General features: G+C 45.2%; 1 protein-coding gene across 9 annotated transcripts in view; it reads left to right on the forward strand.

Annotated features, from left to right (window-relative positions):
• The window catches only part of KIAA1549L (KIAA1549 like), a 297,995-nt gene that overhangs the window by 188,372 nt on the left and 87,679 nt on the right, over positions 1-21,944 (forward strand). For all 9 annotated transcript variants that reach the window (XM_047426719.1, XM_005252848.4, NM_012194.3 and 6 more), the window contains 3 exons: positions 3,597-3,748; positions 10,223-10,394; positions 18,859-19,022. In XM_047426719.1, coding sequence (XP_047282675.1) covers positions 3,597-3,748; positions 10,223-10,394; positions 18,859-19,022 — 488 coding nt within the window. The remainder of the gene's footprint in view (positions 1-3,596; positions 3,749-10,222; positions 10,395-18,858; positions 19,023-21,944) is intronic.

A 21,944-nucleotide genomic window follows, 5' to 3' on the forward strand; every position in this document is an offset into this window, starting at 1 on the left:
CACTGGCTTAAGGTGACTCCTGAAGTCTCTTTACAGAGAACCTAGAGGCTACCCTGCCACTCAGGGGTCCTGCAGTGAAGTTTGTATATGTGAGGCAAGATAGAAATGTGCAGATTCAATATTGCTGCCAGACAGAGGGGACAGCCCATTTCAGGCTTATCCATCTGCCTTTATTTCTCCCACCAGAGGCAAAATATCCCAGACCCAGCAATGGAAAAATTTCTTCTGGTCTCAGCTCTGCCATTTTCTAACCTAGTGTGTCCTTGAGCAAGCCACTTGGGCCATGTGGACTTCACATTCTCCTTTTGTAGGAGGAGGGAGAAGTATTAACTGAGCATTAAGATTCTTTTAGTGCTAAATGTGTAGGATCCAACTGCAAATAAAACAATTTAGCCTGAGTACAGAAGGCTGAACCAGGCCTGATCACTTGAATTGTAGAGCCCAGTATGATTGTGAATAAAGAAGGAATAAGAGAACAGCGATGTGAAGGTCATTGAATCTTCTGGACAAAGCTTCATTGAACACAGCTGGGGACGTGCCCAGCTCCTCTAAGCTGAGTCACGGGTGGCCAAGGCTGGGGGACCAGGGCCCTGGCTGATGCACTAGGGGGCTGGTGTCTTCCTGGTTGTCTGCGCCAGGTCTGAGCTTCTATGGTTCTGTGATTTCTGTGTCTCTGTGAGAGAGAGAGGTACATGCCCCTTTCTGCTGCCTTCCAGGTGGACAGAGAGGGCTAGGGAGCCTGAGCCTGCCACATTTTTCAGGGGAAGGGGGAGGAGCCACATCCTGGGACACATTTCCATGCCTTGCAGGTGTTTTCTTCCTCTGGTAAGGATGTGTTTAGCAAACAAGGGGCACATCGTAACAACAGCAGCTACCATTTATTGCCGTTCCCTCAAGGGCCTTATGATAGTACCAGGCTAGAAGCATTTTTTATTGAATTATCCTTTCTTAACAGTGACACGATCAGTAGTAGATTATGATCCCTGTGTTTTCAGATGAGGAACTGAGGCATAGAGAAACTCAGCAACTTGCCTGAGACTACTCAGGAAGGGGAAGCCAGGAGGCAAACTCAGGGCCCTGCCCCCAAATCCAGCTCTTCCCCAGGTGCCCCCTAAGAAGGACACATTCTCTTTGCAAAGAGTGGTGACAAAGCTGTGGAGATTGTCCAGTTGATCCCCTGTAACTCTGTGAGAGATTCCCACAGCCTCTGGCACTTCCGTGGAGGCTTTTTTTTTTTTTTCAAAAAAATTTTTATTGGCTGGGTGTGTTGGCTCACACCTGTAATCTCAGCACTTTGGGAGGCTGAGATGGGAGGATTGCTTGAGCCCGGGAGTTTGAGACCAGTGTGGGCAACATAGTGAGACCTCATCTCTACAAAAACAAAAAATAGCCAGTGTGGTGGCTCATGCCTGTAGCCCAGGCTACTTGGAGGCAGAGGCTGGAAGATTGCTTGAGCCCAGGAGGTCGGGGCTGCAGAGTCGTGATCCTGCCACTGCATTCCAGCCTGGGCAATAGAGGGAAACCCTGCCTCAAAAGAAAAAAGAAAACAATTTTATTGTAAAATATACCTAACATAAAAGTTACCATTTTGAACATTTTTAAGTGTGCAATCCAGTGGGATCAGGTATATCCACAATATTGTATAACCACCACTGCTATTTCCAGAACTTTTTTGTCCCCTGGAGGCTTTTGACTATTCCCTTTATTTGATGTCTGCCTTTGAAGCATCACCGAGATTCCCATAAAATAATCCCTGATGACACCTCTCGACTGTCCTGTGTCCCCTCTCTCACTCTTGGCCAGTGGTCAGGAGAGGACAACTTAGAAGTAATACTTCAGTCATTTGATCTGTTATTTTGCTAGAGGGGCCGTCTTTGAACCGGCAAGTACATGGGCTTTTCTGTCTGGGGACAAGAGGTGGGCCAGCCCTTCCATGATCTGATAGCTGTGTCATGAGGGATTCCAGGGGTCCTCTGGGACCTGACACAGTGGGAACAGCACAACTCTTTGTTTTATGAATTTGCAGGAATTAGGCTGATGCATGAGCTGGGAGTGTCTCACAAGGGCCCTAGAAAGAGAGCTGCTTTTATACCCTCCAGGGGGATTATTTGGCATTTATGGCTTCAAAGAAGTAATTTCAGAGACCTAGCTGTGACTTTTCTTTCTCGCTTGATCTATTTAAACATCATTCTCTGTATCTGTTGTCGCCGGTTATCTGGGCTTGTATGGAATGTGATGATTAGCGTTGGCTGCTGGTAGCCCCCTGTTGTACTGGATGCCATAACTGCAATGCGTTCTTCACATCCAAGCTATTTCCATATCCTGGTAGGTGGATGATATCGATGATCCTTGGATGGGCTCTGGTAGAACAAACTCTATTAATAATGGAAAATCTTATCTTCCCAGCCCTTTCAAGTTTTGGTCTCTTTAAGAAAATGAGATTTGTTTTTCACATTTTTAATTTTAAACATGACCGTGTTTGAAGGCAGCCTTTGTGTGTTTGGGGTGAAGAATGTTTCCCAAGGGATGTGGAACAAGGACTGGACTTTGAGGGTAGACAGAAAAAGGGAGTTGCCCTGATAGTAAGTGAACACAGCAGTCCTAGAACAGCCCTGGTGGTCCTGAAAACCCTCCTCCCTGCACTGGCCATGGCTGAAACCATCATTCATGCCTTACCTGTTGACTGCAGATGCCCTGGCTATAGATGAAGCCTAGCGGTGGAAAAAGGATGGGCAAGAAGGGTGTTCCCTTTACCTTCCTCACAGCAGGCAGTGTTCTAAGCTGCTTTACATATCCTGTCTCATTTAAACCCTAGAGCTCATTGGGCTTATGTTGGCTGTGATGTACACTTTCTTATTGCCTTTTTACAGAGAAGGACTTGGACTCAGAGAGGGCCAGTGGCTTGCCTGAGGTCCCTGAACTGACAAGTGCCATAAGAGATAGCTCACTCTTTCCATTCAGCCATCCTCTTCTTGAATGAGAGAGCATCTGAGGGGTTTGGGTAGCTTTAGGGTGGGCATTCAAAGGACTCCACAGAGGAGGAAGAGATGAGGACACTGAACAGGGTAGTCTGCCCAGATATAAGGGATTGAGTTGCAGGATGGAGCTCAAGCTGGGACAAGGCAAAATAAAATAGGAATAGCCCTGAGCCAGACCTTGAGTGGAAACCAGCAAAAATACCCGTTAGCCATACCTACAGCTGTGCTGTGTTCCCATGTGGACTTTTAGCAACACAGATCATCATCTTAGGTGAAGTCTGAGTTAAATACGGCAGCATTCGCAGTGTCACAGTTCACAGAGCAAAGAGCCCAGGCTCTGGAGTTACACAGTCTGGCTTGGGTTTGGACCCTGACTCTGCTGGTTGCTAGCTGCGTGACCTCAGACAAGTCACTTAATCTTTTCAGCATCTATAACATGTGGATAATGATTGTCATAGGGCTGTCGCGAAGGTGAAGTGAGGTAAGGTTGGCCAAGCCCTAACATGAGGTAGGACACAGTGGCCCTTGGTGGCCTGTGCAGGGTCAGTGGTGCTTGTGCTTACTGAATCAGCAGAAAGTCTGCCTTCTGAGCCTCTGCTCTGCCTTCTGCATCCACAGTGCTGCAGGGTGTGGACAATTCGCTGGTGGGCCTGCACAACCAGAGCTTTGCCCGGGTCATGGAGCAGCGCCTGGCCCAGCTATTCATGATGTCCCAGCAACAAGGCCGGCGGTTTAAACGGGCCACCACCCTGGGAAGCTACACTGTGCAGGTAGGTGTATACAGAGCCACTGGGGTTTTCTAATAACTGGGGGTAGAGGGGGGGATGTGCTTCCTGAGACTAAATAAGTCAGTGTGCTCAGAGGAGCCTCCATGCTGCCAACTGACTAAGCCATTTTATCAAGGCTGCTCTTAGGTTTTGGGAACTGACGGTCATAACCATCAAAAACATGAAGGAGGGTGAGAGTTTGCTGCTCTTCCGACATTGTCACTAACTAGGTTATAACACAAGGAAGTCTCGGTACAAAATCTGTACTCATGCAGATATTTTTGAAACAAAAAATTCTTGGTAAGCAAGGACAGACTCATCATCAGCTTGTTCAGTAAGCTCAATGAAGTCCCAGCTCTCTGTCCTTTTAGACCCTCTCACCTCCATTCCTCTGAATAGCAGATGCACCATTATTCCAGAGACAGGATTCTGTTACCTGTATGTAGTCAGTTTCAACAAACAGAACCCTCCAAGCTTATAGTGGACACCTGGCCACGTAGAGATTTAGGCTGGAGGAATGTAGCAGACACTAGCTGTATCCAGCCCACATCCCCTTACCATTTTTGTGCATTCCAGTTGGAGTTCCAACAGCCAGCCTCTGAATCTTTTTCAGAGGGCTTACTTTTGAGATGTCAAAACCTGCTTTGCCCATGCCATGCTGGTTGGAAGTGCCTGAGAATTACCAGTATTATAAATACCCTGGTTCTCTTGGCTGGGAGAATTCTGAAATGTATGTTTTAGATCATTTTCAGAGCTTTCCCACAGAATTAAGCTTTAGTCATTGACTGCAGTAACTGGCTTAATAACGCATCCCTTGTAGGCTCCTTCCCATTCTTGTATTACCTCCTCACCCTCCTGCCAGTTCGTTGCACCTCTCAGATAAACTAGAAGCGCTCAGCTCTTCTCAGGGTCTACTTCTGAGGGCACCCAATCAAGGCAGTAGCCATCCCCAGGAGTAGAGATTCTAAACCTTTCTAGAAACTTTAGCCAGTTCCTGCAAGAATGGGAGCCTCTCTGGTGTATTCTAGCCAGGTCTGCTTATCTTGAATTGCACTGTCACCACTGAGAACTCATGTCTAACATTTGTTGTGCTAATTAACAAAGCTCTGTTGAGCATGATGTCAAATTAGAGAAGCACTCCTGGTAGCTGCCTCTGGAGTGGGGACTTCCTACCTGGAATTGAGCAGACTACCCCTGGCATGTGAACCCCTGATTGATGATTGACCACATCTCGGGTGTAACTGAACCATAGCACACATGCATAGTATCACACTGTCTAAGAGTAAGCATTTTAAGGGAAATTGCAGCCATTAGCATAGTCTGTGTGCAAATCCTGTCTCCAGGCAATCTTGAAAGTATAGACAACCCATCTTAATGAACACACTTCCCCGCATGAGTCATCATCATGCCCCTGATGGAGACTCCAGGTCCCTCCATTCGCAGTTGGTGAATTTGGCCGTTTGTCCTATTGGATGTTGCTTTGGTTCTAAAAGTCTCTGTGGTCTGAGATGACCTTACCACGAGGTAAAGCGGTGGTTAAGCTTGCGTGTCAGGTTTGTGATTTCTCCTTTGTAGGTTCCATGTGAGCTCTATAATTTCCACTTTTCCAAATGACAGGAAGAAAGTCACTGGTGCTCAGATAATGGAACTGGGATTTGCATCAGCCAAAGGGGGAGAAGGGGCCACCCTACAACCCTGGTGTTATTTGTAAACCTAAGAAACCTAACACATTTTGCATGCCAAAGGGCCCAGAGAGGTGTTCTTTCTCTCTCTCTCTCTCTCTTTTTTTTTTTTTTTGAGACGGAGTCTCACTCTGTCATCCAGGCTGGAGTGCAGTGGCACAATATTGGCACACTGCAACCTCCGCCTCCCGGGTCCAAGCGATTCTCCTGCCTCAGCCTCCCGAATAGCTGGGATTACAGGTGCGCACTGCCATGCCTAGCTAGTTTTTGTATTTTTAGTAGAGTTGGGATTTCACCATGTTGTTCAGGCTGGTCTCAAACTCCTGACCTCATGATCCACCCACCTCAGCCTCCCAAAGTGCTGGGATTACAGGTGTGAGCCACCACGTCCAGCCTTCTCTCATTTCTTCTAAGAGCTCAGTGCACTTGGCCCCTTTAGCTGCCTGGAAAGTCTGAGGGAAGCGGGTGGGGGTTTATTTCTGCAAATCCCTGATTTACAGAGGGTGTAGATCACCTTGTAACATACCCTTAAGGAAATCTTGGCAGGAGGAATTTGCTATTAAGTTGAAACTGAGAGAAACTATTAGATATTTGAATGGTCATTCAACTTCTACCAGATTCTACTAACACTTTCCCCACCTCCTTTCCCACTAGGGAAAGGAATAACATGCCCCAGTTTCCCCCAAAAAATTCACTCTACGTGGGTTACAATATCCTTCTACCCTGAGGCCTTTCTTCTAGGCTTAGATCATTTTAAAAGATGAGCTACCTTCATGAATATGGAGATTTAACTGTCTAGAATCTAAAGATATTTCTTAAGTTGACATATTTGAAAAATTGAGGCCTAAGAGAAAACATGTGACCACTAAAAATTTTTAAATATTTGACTTAATTTGTAATCGAAGTAAGGCAAGTTTTAACTACCACAAGATGCCATTTTCACCTACCAAAGATTAGTAAAATACTAAGATCCAGTATTGATGAGTGTGGAGCGAAAAGGGCACTTTCAAACAGAGCAACTGGGTATGATTTTTCTGGAGGAATTTAGACAAGAAACTCTTAGATGATCACAAACTGACTCCTAGAAATTCATCTCGACCAGGCACAGTGGCTCACGCCTGTAATCCCAGCACTTTGGGAGGCCAAGGCAGGTGGATCACAAGGTCAAGAGATGGAGACCATTCTGGCTAACATGGTGAAACTCCGTCTCTACTAAAAATACAAAAATTAGCTGGGCATGGTGGTGCACACTTGTACTCCCAGCTACTCGGGAGGCTGAAGCAGGAGAATTGCTTGAACCCAGGAGGTGGAGGTTGCAGTTAGCTGAGATTGCACCCCTGCACTGCAGCCTGGTGACAGAGCGAGACTCTGTGGTGACAGAGCAAGACTGTCTCAAAAGAGAAAAGAAAAGAAATTCATCTTGAGGACAAGGACACACAGGTGAACACAAAGACAAAAGAGTGAGGATAGTGTTTTCCGGAGAGTGTCTAGAAAGTGATTAGGCCGTTCTTGCATTGCTATAAAGAAATATCTGAGACTGAGTACTTTATAAGAAAAGAGGTTTAACTGGCTCATGGTTCTGCAGGCTGTACAGGAAGCATAGTGTTAGCATCTGCTTCTGGAAAGGCCTAAGGAAGCTTCAAGCATGGCAGAAGATGAAGGCGGAGCAGGTCTCACATGGCAGGAGTAGAAGCAAGAAAGAGGGTGGGGGGAGGCTCCACGCACATTAAACAACCAGATCTCACAAGAACTCATTCACTACTGCGAGGACAGCACCAAGCCATGAGGGAGCTGCCTCCATGACCCAAATACCTCCCACCGGGACCCACCTCCAACACTGGGATTACACAATTCAACATGAGATTTGGAGAGGACATGTATTCATACTATATCATGATCTTATCAAGTGTTCTTTTGAAAAGGGGCTCTCTGGCCAAATCGGTTTGGGCAAGGCTGCATCCTAAAGCCCCTTCTTGAAGAGTCCCAAAGCCTATTTGCATACCAAAGCTCTGAAAAGACCTGAAGTAAAGACATCTCCTTAATTTTCTTCAACATGCTGGTTTCCAAGTTTAAACGTCAAAAAGCCCTTGTTTTTAAGTAATATCTATATAGTCCCAACATTTTATTATGAACTTTTTTTTTTTTTTTGAGATAAAGTCTCGCTCTGTCGCCCAGGCTGGAGTGCAGTGGTGTGAGCTCAGCTCACTGCAACCTCCGCCTCCCAGGTTCAAGCGATTCTCCTGCCTCAGCCTCCTGAGTAGCTGGGAGTACAGGTGTGTGCCACCACGCCCAGCTAATTTTTGTATTTTTAGTAGAGATGGGGTTTTGCTATGTTAGTCAGGGTGGTCTCGAACTCCTGACTTCAAGTGATCTACCCACCTTGGCCTCTGAAAGTGCTGGGATTACAGACATGAGCCACTGTGCCTGGCCAACATTTTCAAACTTGTAGAAAAGTTGATAAAATTATAGTCAACACCCATATCACTATCTAGGTTCTACAATTGACATTATACTGTTACTATTTTATATTTGATTACATATATCATTTCCAAACACTTCCATAAGGTTTTCTTAACATATATTTTCATATACTTCTAAATCATAGATTGATTTTGACATTCTAGCATTTCATATAAATCGAATCCTACAGTACATACTCTTTTGTATAAAGCTTTTTTGACACAGTGTATTGTTTTGACATTCATCCATGTTGTTGTGTTATTCAGTAGTTTATTCAATTTTTTTGCTGAATAATATTCTCTTATATGAATATACTACAGTTTGTTTATCCATTCTTCTGTTGGTATACACCTGGGCTTTTCCAGTTTGTAGCTATTAAGCAAGGCTGCTGTGAACATTCTTCCACAAGTCCTTTGGTGACCACATGGCTTTCACTCATCTTAGTTATATAGGCTGGAATTGCTGGTTCTTAGGGTTGGTGTACATTAATTCTATAGGAAACTGCCAGACCTTTCTTCAAAGTGGTTGCACCATTTGCACTCCCACCAAACAGACAGGTGTTCCAGTTGCTTCACTTCCTCATCAACACTTGGTGTTGTCAGTTCTTACTTTAGCCGTGCTGGTGGGTATAGAGTGGTCTCTTGTGGTTTCAATTTGAATTTCCCCATTGAGCATTTTTATGTGCTAATTGGTTATTCAGACATCTTCCTTTGTGAAGTGTCTGATCAGCTCTTTTGCCCATTTTCTATTGGGTTGTAATAATATCTTTTTTAATTGTTATGTATAGCATATACACAAAACAGTATAAGAAAGATGCAGAATTTAAAGGACACTAATAAAAAGAATCCACAACCTGAAGGGTAAGAACATTACCCTTACCTTATCCCAATAGCCTTTTATATGTCTTCTCTGATTGTACTCCCTTCTTCCCTCTTCAGAGTTTAGAGTGAATCTGAATTTTGTATTAAATCATTCCCATATTTTTTGTATAGATTTTACCATCCACGCCTGTATCTCTAAATAGTATATTATGTAGTTTTGCTTAACTTTTAACTTTATATTTTGTGATTTGTTCCTTTTGCTCAACATCAGGCTTTTGTATTCATCCATAATGATACAAATAGCCATAGTTTATTCATTTTCACCACTACACTATAGTATGTCATCATGTGAGTATACAGTAGCTCATTATCCAACCAATTATTAACAACTTTTGAATTTTTAGTCTTTTTACTGTTATAAACAATGTTGCTATAAACATTTTTGTAAAGTCTTTTAATATCCTGTGAAACTCATAATCTGTAATATAAACTTTGGAAAATACTATATACTATTTATGATTTGTCCATTATAACTGCAAAAAGTTGATAACCAATGTTCGATAATCAAGGGTTAGTTTGATTTACCAGGCATGCGTACTGTAGAACACTATGTAGGTATTAAAACTTAAGTTTTAGTATTTATGATTATCAATTGTTAATTACAGTAGTAAAAAATTAGTAACAGTCTAAATGCTTAATAAAGGATTGTTTAAATAAGTTTATGAGGTATGCATCAGAATGCCATGTAAAAATAAACGTTTATGCTTTTGTTATATTTAAGGTCCTTTAAAGATGCAAGTAAAAATTGCAAAATATTGTATATAGACTATGACAAATAATTTTGTAAACTAATAAGGAAAAGGGTTGTGTGGGCAAAAACGAAGAATGGAAGCAAATACTCTATAATGGCAACAGTAATTAGCTTGTGATAGAAGGATTACAGATTGTTTTTATTTTATTTCTTGATGTTTTTCCATATTTTCAAATTTTCCTATAGTGAATATGTATAACTTTTAGGTAAAAAAAAAAAAAAAGCAAAACCGTTATTTTAGAAAAAGAACATTGGGTTTCCAAGTAGTGTTTTTATCAGAGATCTTTTGAATTGCAGACATATAAGTTAATTTTTCTCCCTTTCTGGCAATTACAGACATTTGAATTTAACAGTCGTGTTTGAGAATAACCTAACATGCCCTGAATTAAATGCAGAGGCCTATTTTCAAATGAGGCCAGAGTTCTGTGGATGCTGGGAGACATCACTATCCTGTGTTTTCTTCTCCAACCACAAACTGTTCTTTCCAGATGTTCGTATTTTTCAAACCTTTTTTCTCCTCCCAGTCTCCTGCTCCAGCGAGAGCAGGCTTCTTGAGAGGCTGGATATAGGGAGGTATGTGAAGGTTGGCGTCTAGCCACAGAAGTCTTCAGCAGTCAGGAGAGGAACATCTGCTGATCACCTGGGTGATTGCAGGGTCCATGCAAAATGCCCTGCAAACACTCGGCCTCTCTTTTTCCGAAAGATGGTGAAGATGCAGCGTGTCCCAGGCCCGAAGGACCCAGCGGAGCTGACTTACTATACCCTGTACAACGGGAAGCCTTTGTTGGGGACCGCAGCTGCCAAGATCCTGAGCACCATTGATTCCCAAAGGATGGCCTTGACCCTTCATCACGTTGTCCTTCTGCAAGCTGACCGTAAGGGAATGGTCTTTTTATTCAGTCTTTTTAATGCCATTAAATGTTTCCTGAAAATCAAAATGATTCCCCAAAATCATGTTAATGGTCTCAGAGCTAAACATATTTGTATTCTGGAAGGTTCTTAAATCAATCAGCTATGTTTCTGTGTTGTTTCAAGCAATAAGGGATATGTTTTAGATACTGGAAGGATGGTAATGATATTACTTTGCCCCCAAGTCCTACCCACCCTTCTTCCTCAGCATAATCTAGTGAACAGCTATGAAAATCACTATAGCTGAGATTATTTTTGTATGCCAGGGGAATTAAAGATAATCTGATTCAACAAACATTTGTAAAGTTCTACATGAAGTCGCTTAGTGCTGGAGGATGTATGGAAGTGGGCGAGACCTGGCTCCTGCCCTTAAGGAGCAGGGAGACTTAATGCAGGTGCAGTGGCACACAACATAGGAAAGTGCTGTAAAAGGCAGTGTGTGTTAGGGGGTCAGCAGAGGGAGGGTTTGCTTCGAAGGGGCATCTGGAAAGAGTGAGCAGAGGAAGGATGTTAAAAATAATAGCTGTCTCTTTGAATACCCTCCCTTGTGGCAGCTGCTATGCGAGTTACTTCACCTAGATTTTCTCACTTTCTGTTCTCATTGGGGCAGTGTTTACTCAGATCTAAACCACAGGAAAGGAAACTGAGGCTCAGAAAAATGAAATAACCTGCTCGGCATCACAGAACAAGTGCTTAGGTGGCCCGGATATTAATCTAGATCTGTCTGACTTTGAACCTGTGTTCTTAACTATATGACACGTGAAGATTTCAGCAGAGGGAGAAGAAGGTGTGTGTATTCCAGAAAGAGAGGGCAGCATGAGCGAAAGAATGGAGGTGAAAAGTACCAAGTGTGCTTGAAAAATGAGTTCAGATTGCCTGGGGTGCTGACACCCATGGAAGAGTTAAGGGAATTGGAAAGGTGTATTGATCCGGAGACTAAGGCCTTGAATGACAGGGAAGGAGATAGTACACACTCTGATCAGCTGTGGGGTGCTGATGAAGATTTCTGAGCTAAGGAGTAATATCATTGGAACTGCCCATTTTTAGGAAGCTTAATTGGTCAGCAGTGTCTAGGATGGGAGCAGACAGGAAGTGGCAGGACTGGTGAGGAGGCTCTGTGGCGTCCCAGGCATTGGGAACCCAAACAAAAGCTATAAAGAGAGTGGGGGAAGGGGAAAGGGTATGAAGGTGAGAGATTAGGTGGTAGAAATTTTAGTATTTGGCAGCATACTGAGCATGGAAGGCAGGAAAGGTCATCTCCTATGGGTTTGCTTTCCTAGCTCATGTCCGTGTTGCCTAAGTCCCTGACACCTGGCTCATGGTCTTCCTCTCCTGCTCAGCTCTTGTCTTTATCCAGTTGACTTTTGCTTCCAGGATGATGGTCCTGACCTTGTATTGTCTTGCTCGGCCGGCATATCCTCACAGACACAACTTTGTCTAGGAATGACGATGGTCACTCTCTGCAATCTTGTTTTTCAAAGTGACAATTTTAACCAAGATTCTTTTCCTTTGCACCTCTCCCCTTCCCTCCCTGTGGGCTCCGTCCTCATCTGCTCAACAGCTTGCTTCATCTGTTTTGCCGCATCCTCTTTATGTGGACTCCAGAGTTTTCTGTTCTCAGCTCTTTCTCCCTCTCTCCAGGTGAGGAATAAATCATAGAGGACAGGAGTGAAAACCACTGCAGGTGTCCAGGCGAGAGCTGAAGGTACTAAAAGTGGACATTCAGAGAAGTGAACAGATTTGGGATATTTCAGGGCACAGAGTCAACGGCGCAAGATAATGATTCTGTGTGTAGCCAGGGAAGGAAGCGGGGCTCAGAGGAATCAAGGATGACTCCTAGGTGCTGGCTTGAGCATTGGTTGTGGTGCCATTTGTTGAGATGCAGAAGGTGCAGGTCAAAGAGGATAAGTGGGGTTGGGATGGGAACAGGGGAGATGGAACTGGGAGTTTGGTTGTAGACGTGTTAGGTGTGAGATGTCTACTAGACATCCACGTGGATCTCAGAAGACATAAACTCAGGAATCATCAACATATAGGTGACATTTAGAGCTAAGGGAATAGGTGAGAATAACCAGGTGGGTTTAGCTAGAGAGAAAAGGGAAACTGAGCCCTGGGGAATCCACATATGGGAAGAGTGAGAGTGAGTAGAGGACACTGACCAGGAGCAGCCAGGGAGATGGGAGGAGAGTGTGGGGTTCAGAATGCAAGCAAGGACAGCAGATCTCACGGGAGGGAGAGAACTGCGTGTCGATTTATATTCCCAAGAGGCAGGGCATGACAGGGTAGAGATTAAGGGGATTGGAGGTTGTGACCTTAGCAGGAGTGGTTTTGCAACCAAATGGGCTGAGAAGAAGAACAAGGTGTGGGGAAGCAGTGACAGCAAAAGAGAGGAAATCTTCTGAGGCAGTTGCTGGAGGGGCTGTATGGCATTCCAGGCATTGAGAACCCAAACAAAAGCTAGAAAGCTTGAATTGGTGTGTGTTTGAATATTGAGAGGATGCTGTCATGGAGAGGGAGAAGCTGACAATGCAGAAGAGAGAGGCAGGAATTGTAGGTGCAAAATCTGTCAATGAATGAGGCAATGGGATCTGGTGCACGGGTGAAGGGGTCCGCAGGGACAGCTGGTCCTTTCTAATGAGGAGAAAGTGGAGTACGGGGGACACTTGGTGATGGAAGCTTGCGGACGCTGTCTCCGATTGTTTCTGCTCTCTTGGGTATAATGAAATGAAGTCGGCAGCTGAAATCGAGGTGTGTGGGGTGGATTTCAGCTGGGGTGTGTGGTAATACACACGGAGAATGGCAGAGCAAACTGCCCAAAAAGTGCCGGAAGATTGACAGGGCTCCGCTTCTCCTTAATCCTCATGGCTGTGTCCACACCACTTCTTCTCTTTTTCAATCCCAGGTCCTTTGAAGCTCCCCTTCCTCGCTGCAGTCACCTCAGGGCCCCAAGAGGCCCCCATCACTCACTGGAGATTTATGCACCTGGCTCAGTGTCTCTTCCTCTCTAACACTTCTGTTCCGGCCATCTGCCACTTTGGCCTGTCAGTTCCATGACAGTTCTATGATGGTCACTGTCTATAGTCTTATTCTCAAAATGACATTTTTAGCCAAGACTCGCTTCCTTCACTCCTCAAGGCCACCCCAGGCCTTGAGGTACTTGGGACGGGCATGAAAAGGAGAGCTGGCTTCATGGTGAGCAGCTGTGAATGGAGTGTCAGGAGGACCGGGTGAGGCTAAGGGACTTTGCTGGTGGCAGTTGATGGGAGCAGTGGACGGGGTCAGGGGCTAGGACAGGAGAGAGAGATCCTATCAGGTTAGACTCATGGAGGCTTTTCGGAGTGAGAGTCTGGGAGGTGAGGGATGGCCCCGGAGGCTCAGCTGTCACTCAAGAGAGTCGAGATTCAAACTCTGTTTGGCCAGGCTCCAAGGCTGCCACCCTCTGACCCTTCCAGCCTCACTCCTTTGTCTCCTTCAAATCCACTCAGTCCTCTCAGTTCCCTTCCACAGTCACTCACAAATCCATTTCCTTTTGTCCATCCCATCATTCTCTCCCACTTGGACCATGGCAGTAGCTTCCAAAGTGACTCAACCTCCCGTTAATGTGCCTTCTACATTGTAATTAGAGTCATTGTAATAAAACGTAGATTCTGATCTTACATTGACTCCATTTTAGAAAAATACTTGCTGGCTCCCATCATTCACAGAATAAAATCCAAACTCCTGTCTTCACAGCAGGTGCACCCAGCAAGCCTTCAGGACTGCACAGCTTGGTCTCAGGCTGCTTTTCCAGCCGTGTGGCCTGCGTTTCTCTCCTTCATATCTAAAGCCACATAGGGGTTTTCATCCTGCATGTTCCCTCTTCCTTGAAGCCTTCCTTGGCGCCTGAGGCACAGCCCTCTGTCTCCCTTGGTTCCAGGAGCTCCCATTGCCCTCCTCACATTGGGCCATAACAGTTGTTGTCTGTCTCTCTCCCTCATGAGCTCTTTAAAAGCAAGTGCCGCATCTCATTCATCTTGGAAGATCTAGCTCCAGTTCCTTCCTGGTTCTATTCTTGTGAAGGCAAAGGAACCACCCTTCACCAGATGCCTCTGCTAGGTGCCGAGAGAGGCATGTGGTTAGGAGACACCATAGCACTTGAGAGAAGAGCCTTTGAAATAAGGTAACCCAGGCCCAGCCCCTGCTCTTCCACTTTCTAGTTATGGAGCTTGGAGTCAAGTTAATTAGCCTCTCTGACCTTCATTTTCCCCACCTGTAAAATGGTAGTATAAAAACACCTCCCTAAGAGAGCTACATAGGAGATTAAAAGAGATAATTGTTGCCTGTAAAGGGCTTGGTGCAGTCCTGGGGCACCTGTTAAGCACATAGTAAGTGGCAGCTGAATCTCTCCGTCGGTATTCCAGCAACACCCGACAATATCCCACGGGCATCCCTGTGATATGTGTCATCATCCCCTTAAACTCCACACAGCTCAAACAATAAATTACCTTCTGCCTTCTAACAATGCCTCTCCTCTCCAGTCCCCTTTCCATCTTCATTAGTTGCACCCTCTTCTCTGTATTATATGGGTTCTTCTCAACCTTCAAATCTCCTTTCTTCTTCATTTCTCTCCTGTAGTCCTCTGGCCTCACGGATAAAGGAGATTCAGCTCCCACTTACTATGTGCTTAACAGGTGCCCCAGGACTGGGGACACTGATGGGATATCAAGGGTGTGATAGGATATCCTAGGAAGGTTAAGAAAGGTGTTGGGAATTCAAGCCTAGAACTCTGGAGAGAGAATCAAGGTAACGCTATAGACTTGAGGATTCTGTAGATAGAGATTAGAATTAAAATCCTGGGGAAAATATGAGTGCCTGGTGAAGGAACGTAGCTAGTGGATGGAAGAGGAAAGCAAGAGGATGTCCTCTGGGAAATATGTCCACCCCAGGAGCTGATGAGGACGAAGATAAGGCCAATGAAGGAGAAGAGGGCAGAGATCTTTAAAATCCCATTTTCTCCCAGTAGTTTCAAGATCAGCCTACAATGTTCATCTGAGGTCAGGACTTTGAATAGAGAGTCACAGTGTTGAATACTTTGTCTCTCTGAAGGGAGAGTTTCTGCATTCTGTGTGTTCCAGAGCCTTCTAAATCACTAATTCTAGGGCCAAGACTGGAGCATGCAGTGCCCACGTGACTCACCCCATCACCTCTGGGTGACAAGGCAGCATTTGACTTAGGCAGCTAGAGGTTTGCATCTGGTCCATTTGCAGGGTCTGGAGTGAGAGGCACTTCAGAGTTGTTATCCAGCTGATGGAATAGGGAAAATTCACCCCAAGGAGAAGCATACCAGAGCAGGAAGTGGTTTGCTTTACATGGCCACCAGACATTTATCTGAAAAGATGCCACTTGGCTGGGCGCAGTGGCTCACACCTATAATCCCAGCACTTTGGGAGGCTGAGGTGGGTGGATCACCTGAGGTCAGGAGTTTGAGACCAGCCTGGCTAACACGGAGAAACCCCGTCTCTACTAAAAATAAAAAAATTAGCTGGGCATGGTGGTGGGTGCGTGTAATCCCAGCTACTTGGGAGGCTGATGCACAAGAATGGCTTGAAACTGGGAAGCAGAGGTTGCAGTGAGCCGAGATCGTGCCATTACTCCAGGCTGGGGGACACAGTGAGATTCTGCCTCAAAAAAAAAAAAAAAAAAAAGAAAAGAAAAGAAAAAAAAAGCCACTTAAAGAAATAGGCTGACCCTCTGGTAAAGAGGACTCATGCTCATTCACTTTTTTAACAGATATTTATTGAGCACCTACTATGTGCAGGGCACTGCTCTGGGCACTGGAGATAGAGCAGTGAATGAAGTGGACAAAAATCCCTGCCCTCATGGAGCTTATGTTCTAGGGTGGGCAGATCAAAGAAACTAAATAAATAAGTAACATGTTTGACGCTAATTAGTGCTATGGAGAAAATTGGGCAGGGAAGGGCTAGGGCATGTTGAGAAGATAGTGGTTGCAATTTTAAATTGTTGGGGGGTCAAGAAGAGAATCACTGAGGAAGTAACCCTTGAGTGACCACCTGAAGAAAGGGAGGGAGGCAAGGGTCCCTGAGGATATCTGGGGGCCAGGTTCCAGGCAGGGAGAAGACAGTCTGACACCTAGCATCGAGGTCATTGAGGGAGCAGAGTCGTAGCTGTGAGGTCAGAGGCACAGAAGAGCGGCCATGGTCACTAGGGCCTCACGGGCTGGGACCCCACTGGGAAGAGAAGCCACAGGAGGGTTTGGTGGGAGAACCACGTGGACTGAGCACTAGCCATCCACTGGACCCTGGGAGGACTCTCCCCTGCATCCAGTCACCCCAGTTATGAGCTCTAATATTTGAGACATAGGTGACGGCCACAAAAACAAACTGGAAACACTTGAATGGATGCCTTCTCCTTTCAACATTTGCTGTACGTGAGAATAATTTATTTTGTATTAGATTATTTGGACTGTTTGACTTCATTCCTTCTGACAAATTGTGTGTGTGTGTGTGTGTGTGTGTGTGTGTGTGTTTACGCTTGCACATAAGCACACACTTCTATTCATGTGTGTTAACTCGGAACCGACTTTAACTGTTTATTTCAGAGAAGTGACTTTTCATAGAAACGTTTGACCTCTCTGGGTCTCAGTTTCCTCATCAGCATATTGGGGATGAGAAAAGCATGCAGGCTAAGGACCTATCACAGCGCCTAACACACAGTAGGCACTCGGGAAATGGGTTTTCCTATCAGTCCTCTACTGAAATTCTTGCAATTTAAATAACCCTTCATTCCTTTTCACCTTTAGGCATGACTTTGTACTTTTAGGTAATTACGCCAATGAACACAACATTGAGTTTGGATGACTTCAGTTGACCTAACTTTACTCTTGTTTTGACTGTTAAATGAATTTATTAATGTGTCCAAGATAAAATCTGTTCTGTTTATGTAAATGAAGGTGAGGGGATTTTACATACTGCACCAAGAAGAAGCACCTCCACTAAAACAATAAAACTGGGTAAAAGCTGAACATTCTTGCTAATAAAAAAAAGCATGTATTTATTTAGGGTATACACTGATATACTGTACATTTTTCTCCATCAGGATAAAATAATGATAAAGAGGCATACAGATATTTTTCACAGAAGCTATAAGCTCTATGTTAATGACAGAATACTCACATATAAATACTGAATTACTAAAAGCAGGAGCAATTAAGTGTTTAATGTCAACAGAAACATATTATCTAATGAGCTGTTTTCAGAAGTTAATAATGTGATTAATCACCGATTGATAAAAACTGTGGAGAAGAAGCTCTTCTGTACTAATAGTATTCTGAGCCTAAGGGCAGCCAAATGAGAGGTAGATCTTGGCTAATGAGGAACCACTTGATGTCAGGGCTTGGTTGAAATCAGAGAGGAAGACTGGCTGGCTCCTCAGGCAGGTCTCACCACGTGGCACTTACTGGTGGAATGTTCATATTCTAGGGTCTGGGCCTCAGTTTTGCCTAGTAGCCCCCAAGTTCAGCAGGATCAGGAGGACCAACTCATGCTAACCAGGCTTACAAGAGTTTGATGTATAAACTAGATTGCCAATATATTAATTTAAACTACAGACCAAACCTACCATGGAGAAGGAACTTCTCCTTTTAACTTGTCAATACTTTTTCCTGTCTCAAGTAAATCATAGGATGAGCTTTGGCAAATGTATACACCCATGTAACCCAACTCTCTATCATACTACAGAGCATGACCATCACCCTGTTGCCCTTTCCAGTTAATTCATCCCAGCCCCCTTGCCCTGAGACACCTACTGTTTTAATAGCACATTCTTCCTGCTGCCACTCACTTTGGTTGCTCTTCTTTACTCTGGTTCTGAGAACAGCCTGAGTCTTTTGACTAGACCGAGGCATTTCCAAGCTCCCAGCCAGCTATTCTGGGGGAGATCCATCTGCTCATGTTACATTTTACTCGTTGCTCACTCTCAGGGTGACTACACTACAATATTGAGAGTCATTTCTCTGTGGCTTTTGCCTCTTGATTCCAGCACACATTTCTAATCTGCACATTTCTCAGCTTCACTTTTCTTTTGACTTGTGGATGTCACCCCTGGGGAAAATTGTTACTGATCCATCTTTTTCTCCTCTTCCTCTCAGTAGTAGTGAACTCTAGCATTTACTGAGCAACTACTAGAGACCACACCAAAAACACTACAAAGTGACAGCCCATTTTACAGATGAGGAAACTGAGACTCAGGGAGCTTAAGCCACTTGCCCAAGGTCACACAGCTGCGGAGGTGGAGGCTTTCTAACCCCAAACCCTCTTAACCTCCCACGTCCTTCTGTCCAGGACTTGGGACTGGGGTGGGGGGTTATGTCTGGGTTGCTTTCCTCTTCCCAGTGTTGCTTGTCATGTCCCTCCTGCTGGCTCTTTCCCACAGCCGTGGTGAAGAACCCGCCCAATAACCTGTGGATCATCGCTGCAGTGCTGGCGCCCATTGCCGTGGTCACGGTCATCATCATCATCATCACTGCCGTGCTCTGCAGGAAGAACAAGAACGACTTCAAGCCTGACACCATGATAAACCTGCCGCAGAGAGCAAAGGTATATGGAAGTGGTGGGGAGAGGGGCAGGAGGACAGGCCTGCAGGAGCTCAGCCTGCCTTTCCCTCTTGCCTTTTGAGGCCATTGCCAGAGCCTGCAGAAACATCAGGGCAGGTCCTCATTTTGAAGGAGATCCTTCCTTTTAGTCTCAGGACCTGATGGTTTGTGGTTATCTGATGCCCATTCGGCCATCAGTGCTTCCAAGTGTTTTATATACAGCAGCTCTCTAATTCTCACAGCTGCCCTTGGAGGAAGTACTATTATTTTACAGATGAGGAAACCGAGGCATAGAAAACTACAAGCTAAAGAGACATGAAAGGGATTTTAGAGATAATGTAATCAGACTCCCTCCTTTCACCCATGAAAAGTAACTCTTTCAAGGTCATATGGTTGGTAAGTAGCAGAACTGATGGTAGAATAAGGTCTGCTATGTTCTGAACGTTGTGGTCCACAGATTTATATGTTGAAATTCTGACCCCCAATATGATGGTATTAGGAGATAGGGCCTTTGGGAGGAGATTAGGTCATGAGGGTGAAACCTCCAGGAATGAGATTAATGCCCTTAGAAAGGAGGCCCTAGAGAGCTCTCTTCCATGTGAAGACACAAGACATTGGCAGCCTGCAGCCCAGAAGAGGTCCCTCACCTCTGACCATCCTGGCACCTTGATCTTGGACTTCTCAGCCTCCAGAGTTGTGAGAAATAAACTTCTGTCATTTACAGGCCACCCAGTCTGTGATATTTTGTTACAACAGCCCGAACTGACTTAGACAAAGTCTCTTGGCTCCTAATGCAAGGCTCTCTGGAGCACATGCTTGGTTGGAGTGACATCTTCAGAGGCCACCATGATGGAGAAGCTGCAGGGCTTTGGCTGGGTGGCCAGAAAACCCCCGTTCAGTGGCTCCACTGAAGCCTGTCCTGGGGCCCCATCCACCCACTGCGGCCTCCACATCTCTGCACCACTCACCTCCAGTGACTGGGAAAGAAATGGACTAGGACATGCTGCAGGATGATTTTCTGGTCACCTTGCTCCCTTCATGATATTCCATGAGGGAAATATACTAACTGTCATACCTGATGCTTAAATAATGCCTTACAATTTGCTGGGCTCCTCGAGGACTATCACCTCGTTTGTTCATCACAGCAGCCTTATGAGGTAGCTCGTAGTCAGGGAAGGTTTTATTATCCTCATTTTACTGCCAAAACACTCAAGGGAAAGAGAGACTTTGGGGTTTGTCCAAAGTCATGCTAGCAGCAGAGGGGTGACTGAGGCTCACATCTGAGTCTTAGAGCATTTTCGCCATTATACACCTACCTGAACCCTGAGATTTGGCAGGTAGAATCCTCTTCCAGCTCTGAAGATCTGAGCTTTGTCTACCAGTGCAGGAATGAAATAGTGAGGCAACGCCTCACATTCCAGAGCCATTGGAATGCATGTCGGCCATGGAGATCGTCCTTGCGGGGGTCACGCATGCCTTAGTTCTTTCTTGATGATCACACCTCACTTCAGCAAAAGAAATCAAAGGATTTTTATTGTTTGTTAAACTGATACACCTGTTTTGATGCTGCAGCTCGTTTAGATACTGTCTACTGAAGAGCCAAATGCCAAAGCGAGTTGTTCTGTTTCAGTTGACACAAAGGCACCTGCTTCCCAGACACAGCAGGATGTTGGTAATAAGTGTACATTGGGAATTGCCCAAGCAGTGAAAGGTGAAACTCTTCCAAGAGTGTGCATTTTGGCCGGGCGCGGTGGCTCACGCCTGTAATCCCAGCATTTTGGGAGGCCGAGGCGGGCGGATCACCTGAGATCAGGAGTTTGAGACTAGCCTGACCAACATGGAGAAACCTCATCTCTACTAAAAATACAAAATTAGCTGGGTGTGGTGGCGCACACCTGTAATCCAAGCTACTCAGGAGGCTGAGGCAGGAGAATTGCTTGAACCTGGGAGGCAGAGGTTGCAGTGACCCAAGATCACACCGTTGCACTCTAGCCTGGGCAACAAGAGCAAAACTCCGTCTCAAAAAATAAAAAAATAAAAAATAAAAAGAGTGTGTATTTCATCTTCATCTCAGCTTAGTTACAACATGAGCCTTTTAGACATAATGGTAATAACCAGAATCTAACTGTACCCACATCCAGGAATACAAAACATGCCATACTGAGATTGTAAGGGGGCATATTTATGTTATAGATTAAACCAAAATTGTACTAATCTGCCAAAATGAGTTGGGCAACACATGATTTCCACATAGCTTCTGGCTGGAAGGCTGTCTGAAGCTAGGACAGATTAGCGTTTGTGGTTTTCCATAGCTCCTTCTGCGTCCTACTCTGTATATTGGGCTTTGTGAGATACCTGGCTGACATTGAACATCAAGCAAATTTATGTTCCATGAGTTGATTGAATTCACTTGTGTGCGGTGGAGCTGGTTGTTTTCCCCCTCCATGAGGCTGGGCTACATATTTTGATTCCCAAAGCCCTTTTATCATGGGAAACCAGCAGGGTGGAACTGCCTCCTGCTTACTGCAGTTCTTCTGCTGTTACAACCCAGGGACACTGCAGTGTTGGAGAGAGGAGAGAGCTTCCTGCATCACTTCTCACCACCTTGTGTGTGTGAACAGAATTCAATTATTGTCAAAGGACGAGGCAGAACAAAAAAGTTAGCCTTCACCGCCAAGCCTTAGACTAGGAGGACAGTCCTGGGGACATCGCTGCATCTTTACAATTCAGGCTACAGTGCCAGAGGGCACTCCCGGGGATCCTTCTTGAGACTCAGTAATAAACTTAACATGCTAAGCAGAGGAGGTGAGTGTGGCTTTCCCGGGAGCCGAGACCAGAGTATGGATACCCTTACCCTTCTTCAGAGACAAGGTACCATGGACTACCCCATTCCCATTGTTATCAGGTGGGCTTCTGCAGGTAGAAT

Source organism: Homo sapiens, chromosome 11 (genome assembly GCF_000001405.40).
Source record: "Homo sapiens chromosome 11, GRCh38.p14 Primary Assembly".
NCBI classification, from domain to species: domain Eukaryota; kingdom Metazoa; phylum Chordata; class Mammalia; order Primates; family Hominidae; genus Homo; species Homo sapiens.